This window comes from Homo sapiens, chromosome 5 (genome assembly GCF_000001405.40).
Source record: "Homo sapiens chromosome 5, GRCh38.p14 Primary Assembly".
NCBI lineage: Eukaryota > Metazoa > Chordata > Mammalia > Primates > Hominidae > Homo > Homo sapiens.
Window position 1 is genome coordinate 59,181,274 of NC_000005.10, and position 25,022 is coordinate 59,206,295.

General features: G+C 36.6%; 1 protein-coding gene across 29 annotated transcripts in view; it reads right to left on the bottom strand.

Annotated features, from left to right (window-relative positions):
• PDE4D (phosphodiesterase 4D) overlaps positions 1-25,022 on the bottom strand; it is a 1,553,091-nt gene that overhangs the window by 212,236 nt on the left and 1,315,833 nt on the right. For 27 of the 29 annotated variants that reach the window (XM_024446112.2, XM_024446110.2, NM_001364599.1 and 24 more), the window contains 2 exons: positions 12,227-12,263; positions 3,916-3,989 (listed from right to left, as the gene is read on the bottom strand). In XM_024446112.2, coding sequence (XP_024301880.1) covers positions 3,916-3,989; positions 12,227-12,263 — 111 coding nt within the window. The remainder of the gene's footprint in view (positions 1-3,915; positions 3,990-12,226; positions 12,264-25,022) is intronic. The other 2 variants (NM_001349243.2, NM_001364604.1) reach the window with 1 other exon arrangement.

Consider the following 25,022-nt stretch of genomic DNA (forward strand, 5'->3'; position numbering starts at 1 on the left):
AGATGTTTGCCAAGTTCCACAAAATGACTATAAACCCCTTGAAGTAAAAAAAAAAAGCATGCTGTCTGATTAACTTATATTCCCTACAGAGCCTAGCACAATGCATCCAGTATTCCGTCAGTGCTTAATAAATTATGTTGAAAAGAATATCATTTATAAAGTATCCATCAACATTTTTGAAATATAACTTTATAAAGTTATTACTTGTAACTGACAGCTTTTAAAATATAATGATTAAAAAACACTTTTAGATACATTCAAAGATGTCTGATATATATATATATATATATATATATATTAGGTATATAATAATTATATATATATTGCCTCTACCAAGGGTGAACACTTAATAAACACTTCTTGTGGATCAGACATTGCTAAATAAGTACTTTAAATGAATTATCTCATTGAATCCTTACAATAAGCCTTAAGGAAGTAAGTTTCATTGTTCTCATTTTACCAATGAGAAAAACAAAACTTTGAGAATTTGAAGAACTTGTTTTAAGTAACGAAGCTGAGATTTGAACTAAACGAATGTGATCCTAGGGTCTATGCTCTGCTTTGCTGCCTTAGTTTGAGATGTTTTTGTGGAACCTGCATGCACAGCCTCACATATGTGCCAATGGCATCAATCTCTTCAAATATGCCTTGCTGAGATGATGAATTTCTTAGCAGGGTGGGGGAAAGTTGGGGAAAGCAGCCTGGGATTTTGTAAATTCTCACTGGTTCCACTCAGCCTCTGGCTCCCTTTCATTGCTCCTAAGGTTATTGGTATCGATTTGGGATTAAAATTTTGTGTTTGATTGAAAATGCACCAAATTTTACTTCTGAATTATTTTAGTTTTTTTTAGTTATAAAATAAAATGGTTGGGGGAAAAATGGGGAGAATTTAAACTCGATAAACCAAAATATTAATATTTTAAGCAGCTGCTCTGAAATAGCTCTGGTCTATATACCAGTAATTATCTTCTTCTTCTTAAATTTTTTTTTTTTTAAAGTTTTGAGATAGGGTCTCACTCTGTTGCTCAGGCTGGAGTGCAGTGGTGTGATCATAGCTCACTACAGCCTAGAACTCCTGAGCTCTAGTGATTCCCCCCACCACCTCAGCCTCTCAAGTAGCTGGGACTACAGGTGCATGCCACCATGCTTGGCTAATTAATTTTTTTTTTTTTAGAGATGGGGTCTTGCTGTGTGTAACAGGGTGTTATCTGTTACCTTCTGGCTAAGAGTTTATCATTCAAATAATTGATATCCTGATTACTCCTTTTTAGTCCTTGCTCTGTGAAAATTTAGAAACCATTGATTTTGTCTGGGAATGGTATTAAATAAATATTTTCACACTCTTCTACAGTTTTGGAAAACCAAATGGTTGACTCAATTCTAATTATCTCCTTTTACTATCAATCCTACAATTAACTGGTACTCAGGAACTTGATATCTGAACAAGTAATGGCAAGCAGAAAATATTAATACTTTGATCCATGGTTGCCTCGATACCTCCTCTAATGACAGATGAGCCAGAACTCACTTCTGGAATAAAAAATCTCAAGGGCAAAACAAAAACAAAAAACCCAAGGTGACAAGAAGCAGTAATGTGTTAACAAGTCAGCAATGTGCATCTGAATACCCACCCAGGGGCTGGGTTTGGAATGCATTCTTCCTAGACTCCTTTTCTGCAGCAAATAAAAAGGGTGGCTTGTGCAAAGGAGCACATGCCTTCCATAAAATCCAAGGATGAGCTTGGAAATGTTCTAGTGGCTCTGTGAGTGCCCAGCAGGAAAGGTTCTGATTCTCCCAGGGTCATCATGTGATGAGGCAGAGTTACAGCACTTTGTTCTCACTGAACAGAATCGAGTTTAGCCGTGAATAGATTGAATCCTACTATTCTGATACCCAAAGAAGCCGATTTGGTTTGAATCAGTAATGGAGGCACAAATTTGCATTGACCAAAAGGAAGACCACAGTGGCCTTTACTTAGAGTCTGCCAGATAATACTGTTTGGTTAGATGTCACCCTGGGCATTGACAAGGCAGAGAGGAAGTTCAGGCTCAAGCTATGATTTTCTGTTTTCTTCTAGCTCCTCCTTTCCATTTCAATCTGTTCCATCCCTGTATGTCAGCTGAAAACTTCTGTCTTGCATAGAAACAGGCCTCAGATCGTCTCTGGAGCCTGACTGATCAACTATTTACCTGCCACAGATTTAAATGCTGGTACCCAGGTGACCACATGTAAAGGAAGCATAAAGGGAGTTTCTTGTTCACTTTTTAAAGACAAAAATCTCAGTTTCCTGGGTAAAATTCGAGACTAAAAAGTTTGGGAGTGACAACCAGTTAACTTCATTTCTTCTGCAGAGCTGAGACTTTCTAAGGGGGAGGTGATTGACCTTACAAGCTACCAAATCCCCAAAGCCCAAGGGGGCCGCTGAGGTCAGTATGACATTGCACGGCCACGTTACATAGAAAACGTGATTGGTAATGAACAGGTACCTCAAAGCATGCCCTCAGATTTTACATGCTGAGTTACTACTTTGCCCTTTCAGCGAACAGGCCTTTGCAGACTGATAGACTCTGCATTATGCTAGGCACAGGGAATACAAATGTGAACCGACTACATTCCTACTCACTGGGAACTGACAGTGTTCAGGAGCATCCCAACAGACAAACAGGCAACAGGAGCACAGAGAGCTACGTGCTAACATAGGAATCAAGTACAAGGTACAATCAGACAGAGATGGAAAGGCACATCACTTTGATTAGGGCTTGTGGGTGTGTGTCTATGTTGGGTATCATCAGGGACAATGCTCCAAGAGAAATTTTATTTAAGCTGCAACCAAAAGAATGAATGACAATTATCCCAGTAGATGAGGAGAGGAAGAAGAAGATGAGAAGTATTCAGGCTGAGAGAATAGGACTGCAAAAATTCATTACCTGGAAAAACAGAACCTAATGGGTTCCATTCCAATAGCTTGCATTGTTACATTTATATTGATTTTTAAAAACTTTTTTCTATCACAAGAAGTACTTGAATAACGGCCAGAGCTATTTTTGATAATGAAAAACGTGAATCTGGGAGGTCAATTTTATTACTATGAAATGTAAAGTTCAGATTTCTCATTGTTTTTAAGAAGTAGTAACTACTATGAAATGTTATGCACTTAGGTAAGTTATAGTTCCTAATACACTTATATTTACTATCCTCTTAATATGATTTAAATGTTTTTTTTCCTTCTGGAAAATTATTTGAAGTTGGCATTTTAATATTTTATTTCATATTAATAGCAGATTTTTTTTAAAAAAATGGACATTGAAATAACAGCAAACCAGTTTTCCATTTAATATTGAAAAATTACTTTTATCTTTTTAGATTTTTTTGCCTTTATCAAGAACCTGAAATGATAATCCTTTCCCATCTTTCAAATGCTTTCCCTGTTGTCATATAAACCACAATTCTATTAATTGCTCCATGAATGCTGCTGATCTGAAAGTCAGTAACAGCAGGAGAATCAAAGATCTTTGCTATGATATGGCGCTTCTCCAAATCATCGTTGTCTTGAGAGGATGACTTTCAGCTGATCTTAAGGTGTGATGAGATTATTCACCCACGGTTAATTTATGAAGTAAGCCGAAACTATAAAGTTACCCTGAGTGTAAATAACTGGGCGGAGGACTGATCATGCCAGGTGATTTCTGACAGATGGAATCACCATATTTATTTGTCATACTGCTTCATTTCTGATATTAGAACCATCACCACGAAGTATTTATAGAAAATTAACAGGACATCATATGACTTAGTATACACAGACAACATGGCAACAACACAGAGAAGTCTAACATATTGCCTTGGGCTCAATCAAGTTGAGAAAACTTATTTAAAAGTTCAGCAAAAAAGAGGGGGGAAAAAAGGATATCTTACTTGCTAGGTGCTCGATCTTGCAAATTAGTTAATGCAGCAAAGTTGTTTCGTACAGTTCGCAGACTGGCCAAGACCTACAACAAGAAAGGATTCTTGAAACTTCTTGAGCTAAGGCCATTTTAAATACACTTGAAAATGGTTTGTTAAGAGAAAACTTGATATTGCTTGCAACTTAGTTTCATATACCACTAAAGAATCTCCCAACACTTAGTGCAGTTTGTAGGTATCCACACGAAATCCAGAGAGGCCAGACTGCAGAAATTTTCCAGAAATCCCTCCACATTGTCTATGCACATGGTGACAGTAGCAGCAGTTTCCACAGTATTTCTGGGTTCCTTAGTCACCAAGACAATATTCCAGGCAATACACAGATAACATGATTGCATTTTTGCACATTTCAAATAGTATAATATAAAATGCTAATAAAGCTCACTTTAGGGATAAAAAATTCCCTACTCCCAAATCTCTTCAAAAATTGATGAAGAATCTCATAATAATAAGTTGGCAAGTGAAGTGAATTTTAAACTGTTTTTCTACCTTTGCCACATGGCTACTCTAGCTAGTAAGCAGACATTGTTTTCTTTTGTTAAGGTTATCTGAATTGTGCATTGTAAGAAGCTCTCAGGGATGCGTTTCTTATGTAAAATGCTACGCCCTGTACATGCACAATGCTTGGCACACAGAAGATACTCAATAAAAATTTGTTGACTAAATGAATACATAGACACAACATGCCCACACACATAACAAGGCAGGACCAATAGGTGTCACTATCTCTAACAGTCGCTTTTTCTAATTCCAGTTGGAACTAGAAAGTAGCCAACGGACTGGAAGTGAGCCTAGGAGAAGGTTCCTAGAGCCTTATCTCCTTCTTCCCTCCTCTCTTTCTCCTGAAATGGGCAAGTTTCCCCAGGGTCAAACCCATATTAGATGGGATTATAGGTGATTTGGGTGACAGCTAGAGTGCTAAGTTTATGTAAAACACAGATTCCAAATGTCTGAGTAGGTATTACCTAACAACCCAGACTGTCTGGCTCTGTTATGTAGTAAATGTGTGAACTTGGACTAGATATGCAACCTCTTTGTACCTCAGCTTCCTAACCTGGAAAACTGGGATAGTGATACCTACCTCGTAGAATTGTTGTGAGGAGTATATGGAATGACAGGTTTGGTGCCAAGAACAGTGCCTGGCAAATAGAAAGCATTCAGCCAATATTAGCCCATGATGGCAGCGTTACCTTTGACTTAATGACTTGGCATGCACTTGGGAAATTTACTTAATGCCTAGCATTGGTAATTCAAGAGTCTCCAAAGTTTTAATTGCTTCAAAGTTTCCAGAGTTGTTTTCAGAAATGTTTCATCTGGCACAGACCTAGACTAAAATCAGTCTAATTTTTTTTCTAAGACAAAAATGTCCCAGACTCTGTTTTGTTGTTGCTGTTTATGAAATTGACATTCATTTGTGTAAGTCAATGGAGAGCTGTGTACGCCTTGGGACAGTGACTTAGAGAATTTTCCCCTAAAGGAGTTAATGCTGCTTCCTAAGAAGCCAACCGTGATTAACTCAGTCACTGGAAAAACCTGGCTCATTATCTCATATAAACAACCCACGGCTCTGAAAGGTCACGCTGCCTATGATGGAGTATTCAAATGGCCGACTGCTGACATCAGACCACGATGTCTTTCATTAGGCATGAAATCTTGAATGATGCAGAAGTAAATCGGATAAATGATCCACTGTCGTTAAATCATGCAGGCTTAATTTATGTTTTAAGAAGTGAATATCAAACATACTAATGGAAACTTTAAGATAAAATCATTGCACCAGCTAATTGATCCCCTTCCTAGGCAAAATTTTTAACCCTAGAATTCTGAGATTTTTATTCCAATACATAATAGTTAAGTTCATTGCAGTTGACAGCTGGGTAAATAGACATAGAAATGCAGGCAACTTATTTTCTATGATCATTTGAAGGGAAACATCAGTCATGAAAAGAAAAATTAGTTCATCAAAGAAAAAATTTCTGTAGAGGAGTTTTTGCCTCTATTATAATAAACTTCTAATTTAATAAGTAATCTAATTTAATATTATTTTGTCTTTGTTTTTAGTTTAAAATTTATGTATTTTTGTATAATTTATATCTTCACATGCTTCAGAATTTAAACAAAAGAGTATAAAGCAAAAAGTCTCCCCTTCAATGATTAAGATAAAAATCAAAATTATTATTACTTCTGAAAAGACGCAATAGAAACAGATTAACCTGGGGAGGGACACTCAGGGGACATTAAAATACTGATAACTGTTCTATTTCTTAAACTGTTCATTTTAGTATTATTCTTTATATTTTACATAATTACAAGCTATATTCCCTTATATATATGAAATACTTCAAAATAAAAAGTGAAAAAAGGAATCTGTCTTCCGGTCTCTCCTTCAGACAATCAGCTGCCTGGCCACTAGCAATCAACTTTTAGGTTTTCTATCTTAAAGTTGTTTTTGTACAAACACTGTTGCAATAAATAATCTTGTAGAGAAATTATTTCCTAGGCATGCCAGTATTAGATTATTTATTGTGTGTGTGTGGGTTTTTTTTTCTTTTGCAGCAGGACAAACTATTTTATAAATTTTATGTTTGGTGTTAACTATTATCTTCTACAGTATGACATGTATGCTATTGGCAGAAGTGTAAATAACATTTCTAGACAAATCTTATAAGGGGGTGTTGTCTTGGGCCTCGCTGACTGACTCTTGGTGTCGTCATCACTGTTATCACTGTGTTAGTCTTTTAAGCTTTCACTTTGCATTGCAGGGCACAAAGAGGGAGCATCTGTTACTGCAGGCTGTGGGGAGAACTATAAACAGTTTTACTGAAGCCCCTAAGTTAAAGTTCCATTGTTCTTTGCTTTTGTTCAGGGCAGCCCTCACTTCCCCTGAATTCGACTCTTTAAGAACTGTAGTCAAAGCTTTAAGGCTCCTTTTACAGTTGTCCTTACTCCTTAATGCTTGCTAACCAAAAAGATCCCTGACGTTTCTTCCACAGAGCTCAATGGTTAGAAAATTAAGGTCATTTCTTTCTCTTCTGCCCCACCAAGCAGAAGTATAGCCAGTCAATGTCAAAATTACATTGGGAATGATGAGAAATATATATTCCTTAGGAAGGAAATACTGGTAGTTTTACAGAAAAATTTTAGACAAAGATGGTTCATGTATTAGCCCATGGGGAAGGATTCAATGTTATTTACGTACACTACTCTCGGATCTTCTTAGGTGCTTCTAAACATTTATTAAACAATAAGAATCACTGAAAATAGCAGGAAAATACGGTTATCATTTAACACTTAAACAGCTGAACATCATAGCCTAAAAAAAAAGAGGAAAATAAATGGTTTCGAGGATTGTTTTTCATAACCATATACACTTGTTACCACTAGATGGCGGTAAAACACAGACCATGAGGTTGAGGTGCCACTGGCGGCGGAGGAAGCGGCGACCCGCACTGGGAGAGATTCATTACTTCGGTTTTACCTCCGGAAAAAGCTGGAGTCAAGTTATGCTTATTTACAAAATAGAAAGGTCATTTTTATGAAAAGAAAACCTCTTTCCAGGTTATGTTTTGTTTAAACCCTATGAAATTGCTGGTTTGTACACCAGAAAAGGTTGATAGACAATTTTATATGGTTCGCTCTTAAAAAGAACTTAGATGTCCAGAAGATAGTAGTTGTAATTTAAATTAATTAAGGCTAAAGAAAAGCTAAAAATTTAGCACCGACTGAAACGAGGTGACTATCTTCTTTCATAGCCTGGCAGGGAGGGCCTAGCACAGTCTGCAAGCTTGAGGATGGTGATGAGGCCACAAGATCGTTGCTGCTGGGTGAAGTGGCTGAGGGACAGGCAGGAATATGAGAATATTGGTTATATTTTATTACCAACTAAATGGTAATATTCTATAGTATTAATAACTACTGCATTTTTATCCTAGAAGTATCCCAGGTGCTGTATTTTGGTTAGAGTAAAGGTAAAGAGATGTAGTTGTTCCTACCCCGTTTTTTTTTTTGTTTTTTTTGTTTTTTTTTTTTTGAGACGGAGTTTTGCTCTTGTTGCCCAGGATGGAGTGCAATGGCGCGATCTCGGCTCACTGCAACCTCTGCCTCCTGGGTTCAAGTTATTCTCCCGCCTCTGTATTTTCAAATCAGGGATATCTCCTTAGTCTGAATGAAGTGAGGGTTTCTCCAGGGATCCAGCATAATGCTTGGGTTTTCCTGTTTTCTCTTTCTTTCATCAGAGTCTACTTCATTTAACATTACACACTTCCACATGAAAATTCTAGTCAACTTAGAGTTTTACTACAGGGTAGTTGTGTCACAAATCCTGGGATCACTGAGCCCGGAGGCAGCTGACAGCAGAGAAGAGTTTCCTACAGTTTATCAGCATTGTGCCTCCTTAGTGCTCCTTGGCCCCCAAGAACTCTGGCCAAGAAAAAAAGGTCAGTTGCCGCGTGCACTCCAGTGGGATTCCTCTCTAGCCTTCGTGCTAAGGAAACACCCACACCAAAAGATTTCAACACAAACACAAGAGAATACTTTAACAATTGAAATAAGAAAAATATTTAAAGCTGTCACTTTTTCTGAGGACCAAAGGGATTCTGAGCTTACAGGGGAAAGCATAAGAAATCAGAGGTGGAAAAGAGTTTAGGTTAAACACCAGCAAGAATTTCTAGCCCTGACAGTGTTTTAGACAATGGGATAAACTATGGAGAGATACTATAGGATCCTTTCTGAAAATTACTATCCAAGATGTTTCAGGCTTTAGCCTGGCCAAAAAAGTGCAATCTATCTTTGCACGGCTTCCTAAATTCTCCTCTAATTTAGGATTTTGCTCTTTTCACGTCAAAGGAAACCATGATTTGGAAACCATGATTCGTGTTTTGGAGATGGACTCAGGCATAAAGAAATGAGTTCTCAAGAAGAGGCAGAAGATGAGATGGATTTGGGAGGGGATCTTTGAACACCTTAGACAGGGGAAGGCCATTTTTAGGAGCCATGGGACAGAAAATATGCACAGAAAAATAAATCTGAAGGGATATAAAATAAAATGTCAGTAGCAGTTATTTTGGGGTTTGGAATTTTAGAAAATTTTCCTTTTCTTTTTCTTATTATTTTTCTAAACTTTTATGCAAAAAGTTTTTGTTTTGTTTTGTCTTTTTGAGAAGCATAGCTTTTTCACTGGAATTTAGTGTGAAATTCCAATTTTCAAAGCATGCTGAGAAAAGAGGGTAATTCTTTGGCCTACTTGGCTAAATATTTTTCTGAGTGACTTTTCTAAAATCCATTGTTTTCTGTCCTTTGGTGAAAGCAATTATGGTATATCAGGACAAATTAGATTGGTATCACTTCAAGTGACATAAGTATCTTATATTTTTAGTTTTAAATAGTTAATGCTAAAATAGCACTTACCATTAAGTGGTAAGTGCTTTACTTTGTATTAAAGAAAATTTGAGAAGTTAGTGATTGGGTCAGCAAAACATGCCAATCATGTCCAACAGGGTTTAAGAGAAGGCCACTCAAACATACTCACTGGGACTTCTCTCTTAACCCCTCCCCACAGATGCTCTATGAAGAGTGGTGAAACTCTTCAGGGCTTAACAGTTTTTTGTTTTGTTTTGTTTTTAATTCTAGTGGGGCTTTCCAGGTCTTATACTCCAGTAAAAGGCCATTTGTGAAAACCATGATGAAGCCCCTTAAAAAAAATCGGCAGCCTCTCAAGTAATGACCACTCTCTACAAGGTGTTATGAGTCACTTAGCTAATCATAAGCAAAGACTTAATATACTATGGGATTATTTTTAGGCATCAGATATGCCTATAAATTATACAGCTGATTTATATTCCAAGTTCTAATTTCAAGTATATTAAGTACACATCTTTTTTATTTAAATAGCTTACTAACATGGACTAAATTACATATATGTGTGTATTTCCCAATATCTTGAAATTCCATTAGTTTTTTTTCCTTGGAGATTATAGGTACACTACAGAAAATATCTAATCAGGTAAAAGACTAGATTTCCTTGGAATTTAAGAGCACTGATGGCAGGGTTCAAGTCCAATTTACTAATCTATTTGTTGCAGCTTAATAAATATTACTTGATGTAAAAGACCATATATCATACACAGACCTTTTTTCATTTGTTATTAAATATTTATATATATTTTTTCTTATAATAATACCTAGATCATTTGGTTAGAAACAAGAATAGCTACTTGAATGAACTCAAATTGGAATGATTGGTTCTATGTTTGATGATGTTACTTACATTGTTATGCCATATTTTGTCTGTTCACCTCTCTCTGAGGTCTTAGATATAGAATTATAAGTTTTCTTTCTTTCCTTTTTTTTTCTTGACAGAGTCTTGCTCTGTCACCCAGGCTGGAGTGCAGTGGCATGATCTTGGCTCACTGCAACCTCCACCTCCCGGGTTCAAGCAATTATCCTGCCTCAGCCTCCCAAGTAGCTGGGATTACAGGCACCCGTCACCATGCCTGGCTAATTTTTTTGTATTTTTAGTAGAGACAGGGTTTCATCAAGTTGGCCAGGCTGGTCTCGAACTCCTGACCTCAGGTGATCCACCCACCTCAGCTTCCCAAAGTGCTGGGATTACAGGTACGAGCCACCGCACCCGGCCATAAGTTTTCAATAGTAATCAATTAAAAACCCTCAGCTTTATAAGATTTTGCTATCACATCATATTATTAAATCATACAAGTGTAAATTTTTTGGACACAGAAATACAGGTACTAGAAAGAATTCATAATCTCCAGCAAAACCTTCAGCAAACAAGATATTAACCATCTGAAAAGGATGGTGATTGTATTTTATTTTTAATTGCCTGCATTAATTTAAAAAGTTACTATTATACATTATGTTACTTATGAATTGATTATATTATAGGTCTAAGTTACAGTAATAAAAGTTTGGAAAGTTTTAAAAAGTAGAACTATACATAATCCTACTATCTAAACCCTATTATCCATTTAAAAAATAATACTTATGACATTTTAGAAATGAAAGAACATTTTCAGCTCTATACATTTAAACCAATCACAAAGTTTTTATAATATTATATTTTCAAGCAATTGTGCCTAGCATTTTATAAGCGTGGTATTATTTCAGTGTCTTAGCAATCTTATGAGGTGGGTACTCTTGGAACTGTTATTTAACAGAGGAAGAGACCAGGCTTGGAAAAGTTCAGTGACTCGCTCAAGTCCATTGAGTTGGCAAGAGGCGGTGAAAGGGTTTTAACTAGATCTGACTGTCTTTCATCCAGCTCAGTCCCCTAACTCTACCAGTTGAAAAAAAAGAGGACCCAGAAAATTTAAGTGAGTTGTCCAAGGTGCAAGAGCACCTTGATGTATGATATAGGCCTGATTATAATTTTTACAACCTCTCAGGATTACTTGCATTTTAATATTTAACATTTCTTACTCATCAGTGTTGGTTTTAAACCTGCTTCATGCCCCAGGTTAAATCAGTTTTATCTCATTCCGCCCTTAGTTGTCTATACCAGAGACTCTCAACTTCTCCTGCACACTAGAAAAATACTAAGGCCTTTAACAAATACAGATGCTTGTAACAGATCTCCAAATTTTTGGATTTAATTGACCAGGGCTGCAGCCTGGGCACTGGGATAAGAGGTCTCTAGGTTAATCTAACGTGCAGGTAGGGTTGAGAAGTATTGGTCTATACATAGAACATCTGGTCATCAACTCTTTCATATTTATATTCCCAAACATTTTAGATCATGTTATCACCTGCTTGCACATATGTCATGTGGTTAAAGTATTTTCATGATTTGTATGCCTAGAAGGAAGAAGTAAACATCAACACATCACTCAGCTAAATCTCTGCACAAATGGCATATGTAAAAAAGAGATAAATAAGGTATTGGGTTGAATTGGAATATTGAATTTCAAGCACTGATCATGTACCTAATTATACTAAACATAACTTAAGCCATGATATAGCCTTCTGCTTCTAGTGCTTATGTCAGTATGAGCCCAATTAAGTATATCCCTTAGCTAATTTATTATTTGAAGCAAAGACACTCTTTGGTACTATGGGTTTATAGGAAACAGATTAATATAGCCAAAGTCACTTTCTCTAGCATTGCTTTTGAATTGCTTGAATGAACCAAGAATTTGTATTTGTACTTGTGCTTGATTTAAAATTAAATTAAATTAATAACCCGAACTAATTCCCCAAATTAAATTTTTACATCTGTGAGAAACCTGCCCATTCACCAAGCTGTGCTTACCTGAGCAAATGGAGTCACAATCAAGTCATCTCCGTGTCTGAAAAATAAACCAAATCCCGCATTAGAAATCATCAATAACTCTGTGCTCAGTGTCGTTCAATATTAAACGGCAAGTTCCACTTTCATGAGTTCCCATAGAGAATTACAGTGATTCCATCCTTATACTTCAGCACATGTTCTTCCCAGCAACTGGGTTAAAAATATGTCTTCTGGGATGTTAACAATTGTCCAACTCCCTGGGTAAAAAGAGGGGCTTCTTGATCATCAGCCAGGGTCACTGTTGCTTTTTAGGCACACAGGATATGCAATAGTAGAAATGGTGTTCCAGCAGTGGGGCCTGAGTTTTACTTTTGGCCTCTTACTGTAGATATTAGTAAGGGGTGCTGTGGAAGGAACCAGCAATGCAGTGACTTCAGTGAGAGAACCCTTGACCATCTAATATTTGAAGGTGATTAGCATGGAGTGTTCCACATCATCCCGTGTAAGTCTTGGACAGGCTAGGAACTGTAGATGACATGGGACTGCATCATACACTAATAAAAACCCAGTGAAATGTTCAACTGACTCATCCCAGCCACTGTAGTCACTGGGAAATGTTACTCCTTGTGTGCTGTTGCTGCAGCAACCCCAGCTACACCGTGCCTGGGGTATGGGAGCAAGGTGTCAGCATGACGTGTCTTGGAGGGACAGGGAAGGGCAAGGAAAGTTGTGCAACATTCCAGTTAGAGGAAAGTGAGAAACTGGGGCCCAGGGTTCTTTTGTGGTATTTCTTAGCATGAATAATTTGAGACAAGGATTTCCAGAGTCACCATCAGCTATTTCTTGATCTAGCTAGATAAAATTCTTAAATCAAAAGTGAATGCTGTTATTCAACACAGACAGCTCCCTGGACATGGCCCTGAGAACAGTGCAAATAAACTTTTCGCTCACTCATGAACAATCTGAAAACAACCTGAGTGACCCAAAACAACACCCATGAAACATGCTGGGGCACAGGGAGCATATGGATGATGTTACTCAATAAATTGTTACCAATAGCTAGAATAGGTGCTGTGGTCGTCATCAAACCATGTGGAGATCTTGAAAATAAAAATGTGGGAAATAAAAGCAGAAGAAGGAAAAAACAATGTAAAGGAAGCATGTGTTATTTTACACCCCCTTAGTTCCAGAATCATGTTTTTCAAGGGGCACCTGCTCTTTGTAGAGATTATTCATAGAACTCTAGAACTCTAAGAAGGTAGGACATTGGGTTTTATGATCATTTTATAGAAGAGGCAACTGAGGTTCAGAGAGGGCATAAGGTCTAAAAACTAATAAGTGGTAGAGGCAGGATGTCAATTGAAAAAGGTATTTTCCCATGTTGATGTTTAATTGCCATTGCAACAGTATTAAGAGGTGGGGGCCTGTGAGAAGTAATTAGGTCAGGAGGGCTTCACACTCATGAATGAATTAATGCTGTTATGGTGGGAGGGGGTTAGTTATCATAAGAGTGGGTTGTTATAAAGTGAGCCCAGCCCCTCATGTTTTCTCTTTTGCATGTGCTCACTTGCCCTTCCATTTTTCCATTGTTTGGGATGATGCATCCCAAATATCCTAATCAGATGCTGATGCCATGTCCTTGAACTACCCAGCCTCTAGAACTGTAAGATATAAACTTCTTTTCTATATAAATTACCCTGTCTATGCTATTCTGTTATAGCAACAGAAACTGGACTAAGATAGTGTTCTTCTGTCATCAATAAATAATTTACATAATTTACCTTGACTCTCAAAAAAAAAAGGTCTTCTGAGGTCAAGCCCAGAAAGGCTCTTTCCTAGAACAATGGCCCAGGGTAGGAGCAGGCCTGGTGCACTGAAGTGGCAAGGAGGCCATTGAGCCCGTGGGAGCCAGCAGAGAGGGATGAAGCCAAGGAGGCAGAGCAGCTGCCTAGATGAGAAAGAAGCAGATACAGAGCTGCAACGAGAAGCTCGGTGATTCTAGAGAATGCCATGGAAGGCAGGAAATTCAGAATCATGGGTGGTAACGAGCCAGGCAGCAGATCACAGAGCCCTTGTATGAAATGTACAAGAACTTGGATTTTACTCTCTGATGGAAGTTTGGGTTGGAATTTCAGCTCTGCCACATACTAGGTGTGTGAAATTGTGCAAGTTATTAAACTTCACTTTCCCTTGGCCTCTTCATCTGTAAAATGGAGATAACAGCACATACATAGAGTGATGTTTTGGGATTCAATAAATTAATAATGTTAAGTGCTGAAAAATGTGCTTACCACACAGTAAATGTTCAATAAACATTTCTATAATAATAATTAGCAGCAGTAGTAAAACCTTTTAAATCATAATGATTTTTGCTTTCCTATGCAGTCAGGAAATTGCAAAGACTCAGAAAACTGATACTTCGCTAAGAAGGACTCTTGAGACCCTGTGACAGGTCTATAAAAGATTGAGGGCTTTAAAGGGGCAAAAATGGAAGCAGGGAGACCAGTGTAGAGAAAAGAAGAGATGAGGACCTAAACTAAATCAGTGGTAGTTGAGAGAGAGAGAGAGAGGGACGATGACAGCATTAAAAGCTCTGGGGGAAAGAAAAAGTTCTGGGGAAAAAAAGATATGAAAATTTCAAGCATTTACAAAAGTAAAAAGAATGTTATCACAGCAAGTGTATTTTATATACAATCATCAGCTGTTACAACAATGTTGCAAGGTAGGTGACATTACTCCCATTTTTCAGATGAGAAAATTGTAGCTCAAATTGATTAAGAGATTTAACACAAAGACACGCAGGTAGTAAGCTGCACAGCCATACCTGGAATGGTCCCCTTTTGTGATATGCATTGGCTGATTCCTATGGAACAGCTTAAAAAGATTAAAAATAAAGCTCTAGGAAAATGGCCCAATAAATGCAAATTACAAAGTGATGCCAGGGTTGGCCAGCTACATTTCTTCCTTGGCCCATCATTCTGACTTTCCCTTCTGGCTGTGTCATATAGGTAAATATAGGGCTGCAATTTCTCTTATGTACTTATTTTGAAACAGTAGCCTAACTCTCACAAAACAACTGAGAAATATTTACAGATACACCAGTGTTTAAAAAGCATGAAGACAAAATCCAGAGCTAAACACTTCAGCATTTGACAAATTTCTACACACATAAAGGCACCTTTAGAGTTCATTTGAAGCCAAACATTCTTGGGAGTGGTGGACAAATCAGTAAACTGTGTAGTGTGTTAGAAGTCCGAAGACAAAAAACATTTTCAATAGGTGTATATACTACATATATTGCATTCAAGATAGTTCAATGGTTTCTGACATTAAAAAATGTTATTAAAAATTCCATAATGGGAGGTATATTACACAAGGAGAAAAGACATGCCACCTATGCCGACTTGATTTGCCAGTCTGATAAACTATTCATCTGCTTCAGTGCATGGCCAAGCTGAAGACATTGTATTGTAAAATGGATGAGAGGCAGTTCAGATAACCAAAATTAAAATAATATGACATCTTCTTATTGTCCCAAGCTATAGTCTCTTCTTTCATTTTATTCTTTATAATTGACCTACTATAAAGTTTATTTTTTTCAGGACTAAGTCATCTTGACAAGGCACATCATCAATCTGAAATGAATCCATGGAAATATGTCTCCTAATTTTTTATATAGATTGCAGTGGATTTGAATCTTTCAAAACTCAAAAGGGTTGCATATTTATTAAAACATTTAATTTTCTCTTTGGTTGTATCTCCTTTATAAGTATTATAAGTAATACACTTTACAATATTTATGATAATTTACCAGCCTTTTTTCCCTATGAAAGCATAAAGACAGTTATCATTTTAGTGAAGGAAATATATTACTTTTTAATAAATTGCCCAGAAATTGTTTCTGCCAAATATCTCAAGATGGTCTCATTTTAGTAACAGTAAAATGATACCTAGCATTTCAGTGGCAGATGTCCTCGATAAACGGCAGGTTATAGCCTATCCATTTATTTTCAAAAGTATGTCATGCTTAAATTATCTTTGAATATATACCTAACATATAATTTTAAAATCTTTGTCTAAGTCCTCAACTCAATATTAAAACAGATCTTTTCAGACATACTGTCACTAGGAGAATAAGGCAAGTAAAACCTATTTTTATTTGTGGTTAGAAGAAAATAAATATAATACAAACATATCTTTGAATTGTGTCTTACACTTTGCTTATAATCATTTAAAAACAGATCTGGTAGTTAAGATCAACAGAAGATTCACTTTGTGAATATGATTTGGTTTAAAGTATGTGTGGGTTTTAATGAACTGAATAATCACATATGCTCAAAAAAATCCTATGAAATAAAATAATTCTGAAATCTTGCACCTGAACAACTTTACCCACAGAAGCTTTTTAAAGCGCCTTGCCACGTAAAGTGGGGCTGGGAGGGATTACAATACAATGTAATAAATTGGGGCTTCCTAGGCCTACTTGGCTAAATATTTTTCTGAGTCTCTTCTGAGATGGGAAGAGACTATTAGGGTCTCTATAAAGTGACTGAAAAGCTAGATTCAAAGTCACACAGTGAATATCGCCTGGACATTTTGAAATTGTACCGCCTGGTAATGTGAATTTTGGGTGAGGATGATGCAATACTGTCTTTCATTTAAATAAAAACAATTATAACAACAACAACCCTTAACAAAAAACAGCTGTGATCTGTTTTAAGGAAAATACAGCTCTTTTAAAAAAAAGAACTGGAGTGTTCATGGAGGACAGGCGGAGAATGAATGAGGGATAGGAAGGCTCAGAAAAAAAGTCATTTTGACACTGCGTGTCTATATGTATGTATGTATGCACACATGTATACATGTATGTATGTATGCACATATGTATGTATGTGAGAGATGAGATTGGTACCAAGGTAACAGTCACAGCAGAATGCAAGTGCAGAAACTTCTAGAACAGCCAGGATGAGCCACTGTAGGTCACTGTGGGAGTCAGTGTCACATTGGTTTTAAATTTCATGATGTCCAAGGAGGTGCCACATGCTCTGTCACCTTCCCTGGTTACCAGGAAGTGAACCAGAGTCATCTTCACTAGTCCTGGCGAGCCTTGTCTCTCCCAAAGAGAAAGACTTGCTGAGTCCTGAGCCAGCGCTGTTGAAAGCAGGAGAATACAGGGCTCAACAGTATACTATTGTCTTTTTTTTTCTCACAAGAGAAATGACAGTAGAGTCAGGAACTTCTATTCTCTATTCCCCCTCCCATCCTTCTTCTACTTCTGTATTATTTATCACGTTATTTTCTACCCTTTTTCTTTCTGTAATAAGGAAACAGAAACAAGCAAGAAACTAAAAGCAAGAAATCCAAATGCCCACACTCTTATGGTGACTTTGTTGAGATCCATATATGGTTCAAGTACTTAAAAATGAAAAAGCCTGTTGTCATCTTAAAAAAATAAGTTCAACCAACATCAGCACCTGAAAATATAATTTCCTATAGAAGTTCATTTCATGATTGGTTGAAATCTTAAACACACTAGGTGGCAATCTTTATCTGTTTTACTATTACGAAATCATAAGGAAAAGGAGATACAGTTAATTAGAAGAAAGTTTTTACTTTATGGAGCAAAGACCCCTAATCCTACTATATTTAAAGCATTAGTGGCCATGTAAGACCCACTGCTTTTGAATATCACACATTGCAAATTTTAGCATGACAAATGAATGCATGAACTAGCACTGTGAAGGAGTCACAGGCTGGGGCTTACGTTTGAATCTAATCCTTTTTTTTTTTTTTTCAATGGCATGGAGGTTTGCTATGTTGCCCAGACTGGCCTTGAACTCCTGGGCTGAAGTGATCTTCCTGTCTCAGTCTATGGGGTGCCTAGGATTACAGGTGTGCACCACCGCGCTGGCCGAATGGAATCTTGTGCAAACTTTTTTCATCTTCTGTGCTTCACTCACTCTTACTAGAAAGATATTCTCCTCTGAAGTTTGTCAATAGGATTAGGAAATTGATAAACATATAGAAAATTAAAATAATATTTTTGAAATATATTTTAAAGTCCAAGATTTTGATAATTTTGAAATCTTAGTATCTTTCTTTCCTCAGCCTAAAAACTATCATCCATCTATCAATTCACCCTTGACAACTTCTTTTAGAATTATAGAGAAACAAGTATGTTCTAATTTTAAAATGAATATAAAAATATTTCTGGGAGCCTAGACTATTTGACAACACCCAAGGATTAGCTATAGGAGGACCACGTCTACTCACAACTCTCTAGACCCATCTTCATAGAAGTATGGACATATAAAACAAACATATAATGTAACCTACTTGATCTTTATGTGTGTGTATGTGTATATGTATATATACATACATGTACATATATACATACATCTATATACACATGTACATATATACATATATGCATGTATATATACACACAGGCACATATATACATATATACATACATGTATACATACAGGCACATACATACATATATACACATGCATACATGCATGCAACATACATACATGCACATATACATACATGCACACACACGTATGTACACACATGCATGTACACACACGTATGCACACATACATGTATGTAGACATACATGTATGCACACACATACATGCATGTAGACATACATGTATGTACACGTATATGTATATATAAGTATACACGTGTATGTATATATGTATACATACACGTGTATGTATAGATACACGTGTATGTATACATACATATGTGTATGTACAGCTACACGTATACATACATATGTGTATGTACAGCTACAAGTATACATACATATGTGTATGTACAGCTACACGTATACATACACGTGTATGTACAGCTACACGTATACATACACGTGTATGTACAGCTACACGTATACATACACGTGTATGTACAGCTACACGTATACATACACGTGTATGTACAGCTACACGTATACATACACGTGTATGTACAGCTACACGTATACATACACGTGTATGTACAGCTACACGTATACATACACGTGTATGTACAGCTACACGTATACATACACGTGTATGTACAGCTACACGTATACATACACGTGTATGTACAGCTACACGTATACATACACGTGTATGTACAGATACACGTATACATACACGTGTATGTACAGATACACGTATACATACATATGTGTATGTATAGATACACGTATACATACATATGTGTATGTATAGATACACGTATACATACATATGTGTATGTATATATATACATACACACATATGAAGTACATGCATACATATACATACTTTGGGAGATATAGAACAACTTAAAGAACCATTCAAAGATAACTATTGATAACATTTTCCCACTGCATGTATGTGAGCACATGTATGCAATATAGTATGTGACTATTATGGACTACATACTTCCTTATAGAATTAGAGTCATAGTGTATATTCAACTGTATATCTTGCTTTTAGCATTAAACATTAATGAACCATAAAAATTATACATGCCTTTATTCTTTTAAAATATTGTTAATGATTCCAATCTATATTCGGTAATCTCTAAAATTTTTCAAGTTATGTGAATCCAAATGTATTAAAATGTAAGCATTGATTCTATTTTTAAATAAATTAAAAAATAATCATATGGGTTTTTCAGACGAATTTCAGTTCATTTATCATTCATTCATTTTTAAAAAGCTACTTATTAAAGGAAACATGCTTATTTTAATTAAATATACATAAGACAAAGGTAAATATTAAAATGCTACATGAGAAACTGGGCTGCACAGGTAATTCATGGGAATGTTAAGTATTTTATATTGCTACCTGCTTAAATTAAAATCATGAAACTCTAATTTCAGACAACAAAAATTCTGTAAAATGTGACTACCAAGAAAATTTTGCAAAACCAAATTATTTTTTCCATATAGCGTTTAAAAGAGATGATTTGTTTTTCCAAAAATAATGTTCACTCTGACAAATTATAAATTTAAGAATATAATGAATGATTTAAAATTACTTATAAAGGAGGCATTAGATTTTTTTATAAACTCTAAGTAATCTATATAGTAAATAAAACAATACCAAAAATACATAAAAACTGTTTCCTTGGTATTAGACATACTTGAGGATATGGATCCTCTGTATTGCTTGGCCTTTTAATTTGAAACTAGCTCCATTTAAGTCAAAATAAATTAAGCAGTACATCTATTTATGAAACCCTAGGGAATAAAGTTCCTAATATAATAAAGCCAACTTCAGTTACAAGTGAATGTGCTTTTCCTCTTTGAAGCTATTGCCACTTAGAATTAAAATAATCTATTTAACACAAAAACTTGTATTAAAAATCACAACTACCAAAACTTTCAATTTGGCAAGAATGTCCAGCAACCTTTTACTGAGAATCAAAGAAAATGTAAATTAATATATGAGTAACATTAAAGCTGTCTAGTATTGTGTGAGGTAACATCTTCCAAATTGAAACTTTTCAACGCCAAACTCAGGCCACCTGTTTGTATATCTGTGTATGCAGCTTTTCTGGTGTTTTGATCATTTTTTTTTTTTTTTTTTTTTCTGAGATGGAGTCTCACTCTGTCGCCCAGGCTGGAATGCAGTGGCTGCAATCTCGGCTCACTGCAAGCTCCGCCTCCCGGGTTCACGCCATTCTCCTGCCTCAGCCTCTGGAGTAGCTGGGACTACAGGCGCCTGCCACCATGCCCAGCTAATTTTTTTGTATTTTTAGTAGAGACAGGATTTCACCGTGTTAGCCAGGATGGTCTCGATCTCCTGACGTCGTGATCCACCTGCCTCGGCCTCCCAAAGTGCTGGGATTACAGGCATGATCCACAGCGCCTCGCCCGTTTTGATCATTTTAAATATTTTGAAAAAATTTTAAAGAGATGTGGGGTCTCACTCTGTTGCCCAGGCTAGAGTGCAGTGGCACAATTCACAGCTGACTGCAGCCTCAAGCTCCTGGACTCAAGTGATCCTCTCACTTCAGCCTCCCAAGCAGTTGGAATTACAAGTGCAAACCACTATTTTTATTTCTTAAAGCAGGTTAGAATTTTTTTTTTTTGAGATGGGGTTCTCATCTTGAATTTTAACTCCGACAACTTCCACATGTCCTGAGAGGAGCCTGGTGGGAGATGACTGAATTAGGGGGTCTGGTCTTTCCTGCGTTGTTCTCATAGTAGTGAATGAGTCTTATGAGATCTAATTTTTTAAAAAGAGGAGGTCCCCTGCTCAAGCTCTCTCTCTTTGCCTGTTGCCATCCACATAAGATGTGAATTGCTCCTCCTCGCCTTCCACCATGATTGTGAGGCCTCCCCAGCCACGTGGAACTCTGAGTCCAGTTAAACCTCTTCCTTTTGTAAATTGCCCAGTCTCAGATATGTCTTTATCAGCAGCATGAGAACAGACTAGTACAGTGACCTTCAAAGATATTTAGTTTTCTGAAATTTAAACTGTTTGCTCACATCTTATTAATATTTTAAGAATTAAGAAACAACTCAATGGCAAAAAAACAAATAACCTGATTTTAAAATGGGCAAAAAACCTGAATAGGTCTTTCTCAAAACAATGGCCTGACACAGTGGCTTACACCTGTAATCCCAGCACCTTAGGAGGCTGAGGTAGCAGGATAGCTTAAGCCCAGGAGTTTGAAACCAGCTTGGGCAACATCGTGAGACACCTTCTCTACAAAAAAATTAAAATCAAAACAAGACCTACAAAAAAAGGTCAACAGGTATATGTAAAAGTGCTCAACATCACTAATCTTAAGTGAAATGCAAATTAAAACCATGATGAGATATCACCTGACACCTATAATAGTTTTTTTTTAATCAAAAAAAGGTAACAAATGTTGGTGAAGACATGGAGAAAAGGAAGCCTTTTTACACTGTTGGTGGGAATGTAAACTAGTACAGTCACTATGGAAAACAGTATGAAGGGTCTTCAAAAAATTAAGGATAAAACTACCATATGATCCAGCAATTCTACTTCTGGGTATATATCCAAAGAAAATGAAATCAGTATGTCAAAGAGATACCTGCACTCCCATGTTTGGTGCAGCATTAATCACAATAGCCAAAATATGGAATCAACTTAAGTGTCTAACAACAGATGAATAAAGAAAATGTTATATACACACACACACACACACACTAGAATCCTACTCAGGCTTAAAAAGGGGATATCCTTCCATTTATGACAATATGGATGTTCCTAGAATACATTATGCTTAGTGAAATAAGCCAGGCAAGAAAGATAAATACCATGTGATCTCACACATATGTGGAATCTAAAAACAAAATCAAACTTATAGAAGCAGAGAGTAGAACAGTTGTTCCCAGGGACTGGAGCAGGGCCTGGGGGAGAATGGGAGGATGTGGAATGGGAGATGTTGGTGAAAGGGTACAAAGTTTCAGTTAGAAGGAGAAACAATTTCAAGAGATCTACTGTACAGGCTGGTGACTATAATTAATAATCATGCATAGTATACCTGAAAATTGCTGAGAGTAGATTTTAAATGTACTCATCACAAAAAATGATAAATTGTTAGGTGATGGACCTGTTAATTGCTTGATTTAATCATTCCACAATGTATACATATATCAAAATATTACCTTGTATATAATAAATGCATATAATTTGTTATTTGTTGATGAAAAATAAATTTAAAACAAGAATTAGAGCCCGGCCCCATCTTTGACCAAAAAAAAAAAAAAAATCTTTCAACCAAAAATCCTTAATTTTTGGCTCATGTGTGCTCATATCACTTGTGGAGGACAGGCACTGATGATAAAGCAGATGGGACTGAAGTTTACGCAACATAAGCAAAAAATAATCTAGTCTAAAATGGAATCTCTTTATTTGTCATGAGAAAACAATTTAGGACTCATTAGAGAAAATACATGATGCCAATGAATGCCTTCAAATTTGTTAGTTATATGATGGCACAAAGACTATCTCTGTTAGAAATGATACACCAAAATTTTCCAAGTTAAATAATTAAACAAATGTTTAGCACATGTGTGTAGACATATTCACTAAGCATATTAGGTTATTTTGTTTAATAAAAACCAATACAATAGAGAGACTTTTCTAGGACGGCTGATGTCCCAAATTATCACCAGAAGGTTTGAGTACAAAGCTGAGAGTCTGACTTCCATGGAGGGAAGAAAGACAGCGAAAGAGTTGAGTACATGGGCAGGGATTCACAAGTGCTCTCACTTTGTGTTCTAGGAACGGGATCTTCTTTCACAGTTTATCTTATTGGCAGGCTTGTTCTTAATGCCAGTGGCCCTGCCCTTTTGGTTTTTCACCAGAATGGGATCCTAGGGAAAAGATTTTTGGTCAACTAGTGCAACAATTTTAAAGGTCTGCATGTGGTGAAAAGATTCAATAGATTAAAAGGAAGCCCTTGATCAAACAGAGAGGAGAGCAATGTGTTTTATGAATGCCTACTAGGCACCAGACACGGTGTTCTACCAACATGCTGAATTTAATCCTGACAACTCTGCATTAAATGGATGCTCATATTCCCATTCTAACATAAGGAACTAGGCCCTGACAACTTAAGTTACTCATTGGCAGTCATGCCCTTGACAAGCTGACAGAACTCAGTGGTTTCCAAATGCCACTCTAAGATCTGGTACTTGCCCAACAGAATGCTCAGTGGTCCTTGTCAAAGTCAGAGTGTACATGGACCATGCAGTGAGATTTTTTTTTTAAACTATACGTATTCCTTTGGAAAATTCTTTTATTCTGAGATTATGCTCTTTCTTTTTCACTGAAGTGAAAATGTCTTTAAAAAATAAAATTAACATATATATTGATGGGTAATTCCTTGTTAATGTTCTTTACCTGGCAAAATAAGGAGTTAGTAACCCTAGGTCAGTGTCCCAGAAATTTTACTGGGTCATAAAATCCCAAGGCATGGAAATGTTCAGTGTAGCTGGATTTGAGCCCAGGCCTTCAAATACTGTTTTGTTTTTACCATGCCGCTTTCTGTATGCTCAAATGGATTTAGACTATTCTGAAGGCACATAGAAGTAAATGTTTTAGACTCTAGAACAGCACTGTCCAATAGAATATTTCTGCAACATTCTATTTCTGCAACAGAATATTCTGCAAGACTCTCGGTGCTGTCTAATATGCTATCCACTAGCTAAACACACACACACACACACACACACACACACACACACACACACACACCAATCCACAAAAACAAAACTGATCTTGGTGGTTATAACAAATTCAATTTGAAGTTCTGTAAGCACCAAAGAAAAAATGAATTTTGAAACATGGAAATATGAGATCTGCATGTAGCTTTGTTCTCCCTTGGGAGTGAAACAATGAGTTAAAAAATTTTGGACTTGGGATCATTCATGACATTTATTGGGAGACAACATCATTTACTGAACTGGTGAAATGATTTCTTGTCACATCACAACCTTCCACATTTGTTGAGGGGTGAGCAGTTATTCTTTTTCTTTCTGCTCTGAAGTTCCCTGCGTCTTAAAGAGAGGGTTGCAGGAATTGACACATTATATATGTTTAGATACAACTTTCCAGTATTCAATGTCAGCAAATTTTTCTTGACCCAAGGTTAGGAAAAACCATAAAGTCTCAAGGCAATTAACCGTAGGTGGACACAAAGCCTAGGAGATGCTGCAGTAGGCAGACGGAATAATTGGGGTTGTTTCCTCTGTGAACCTGGTGTGAATCATACCACAGATTACCAGGAATCTGAAAGCAAAGCCCAGTGGTTGATATTCCTTACTTGGTTTTCTAAAGAAAAACCATGGGTC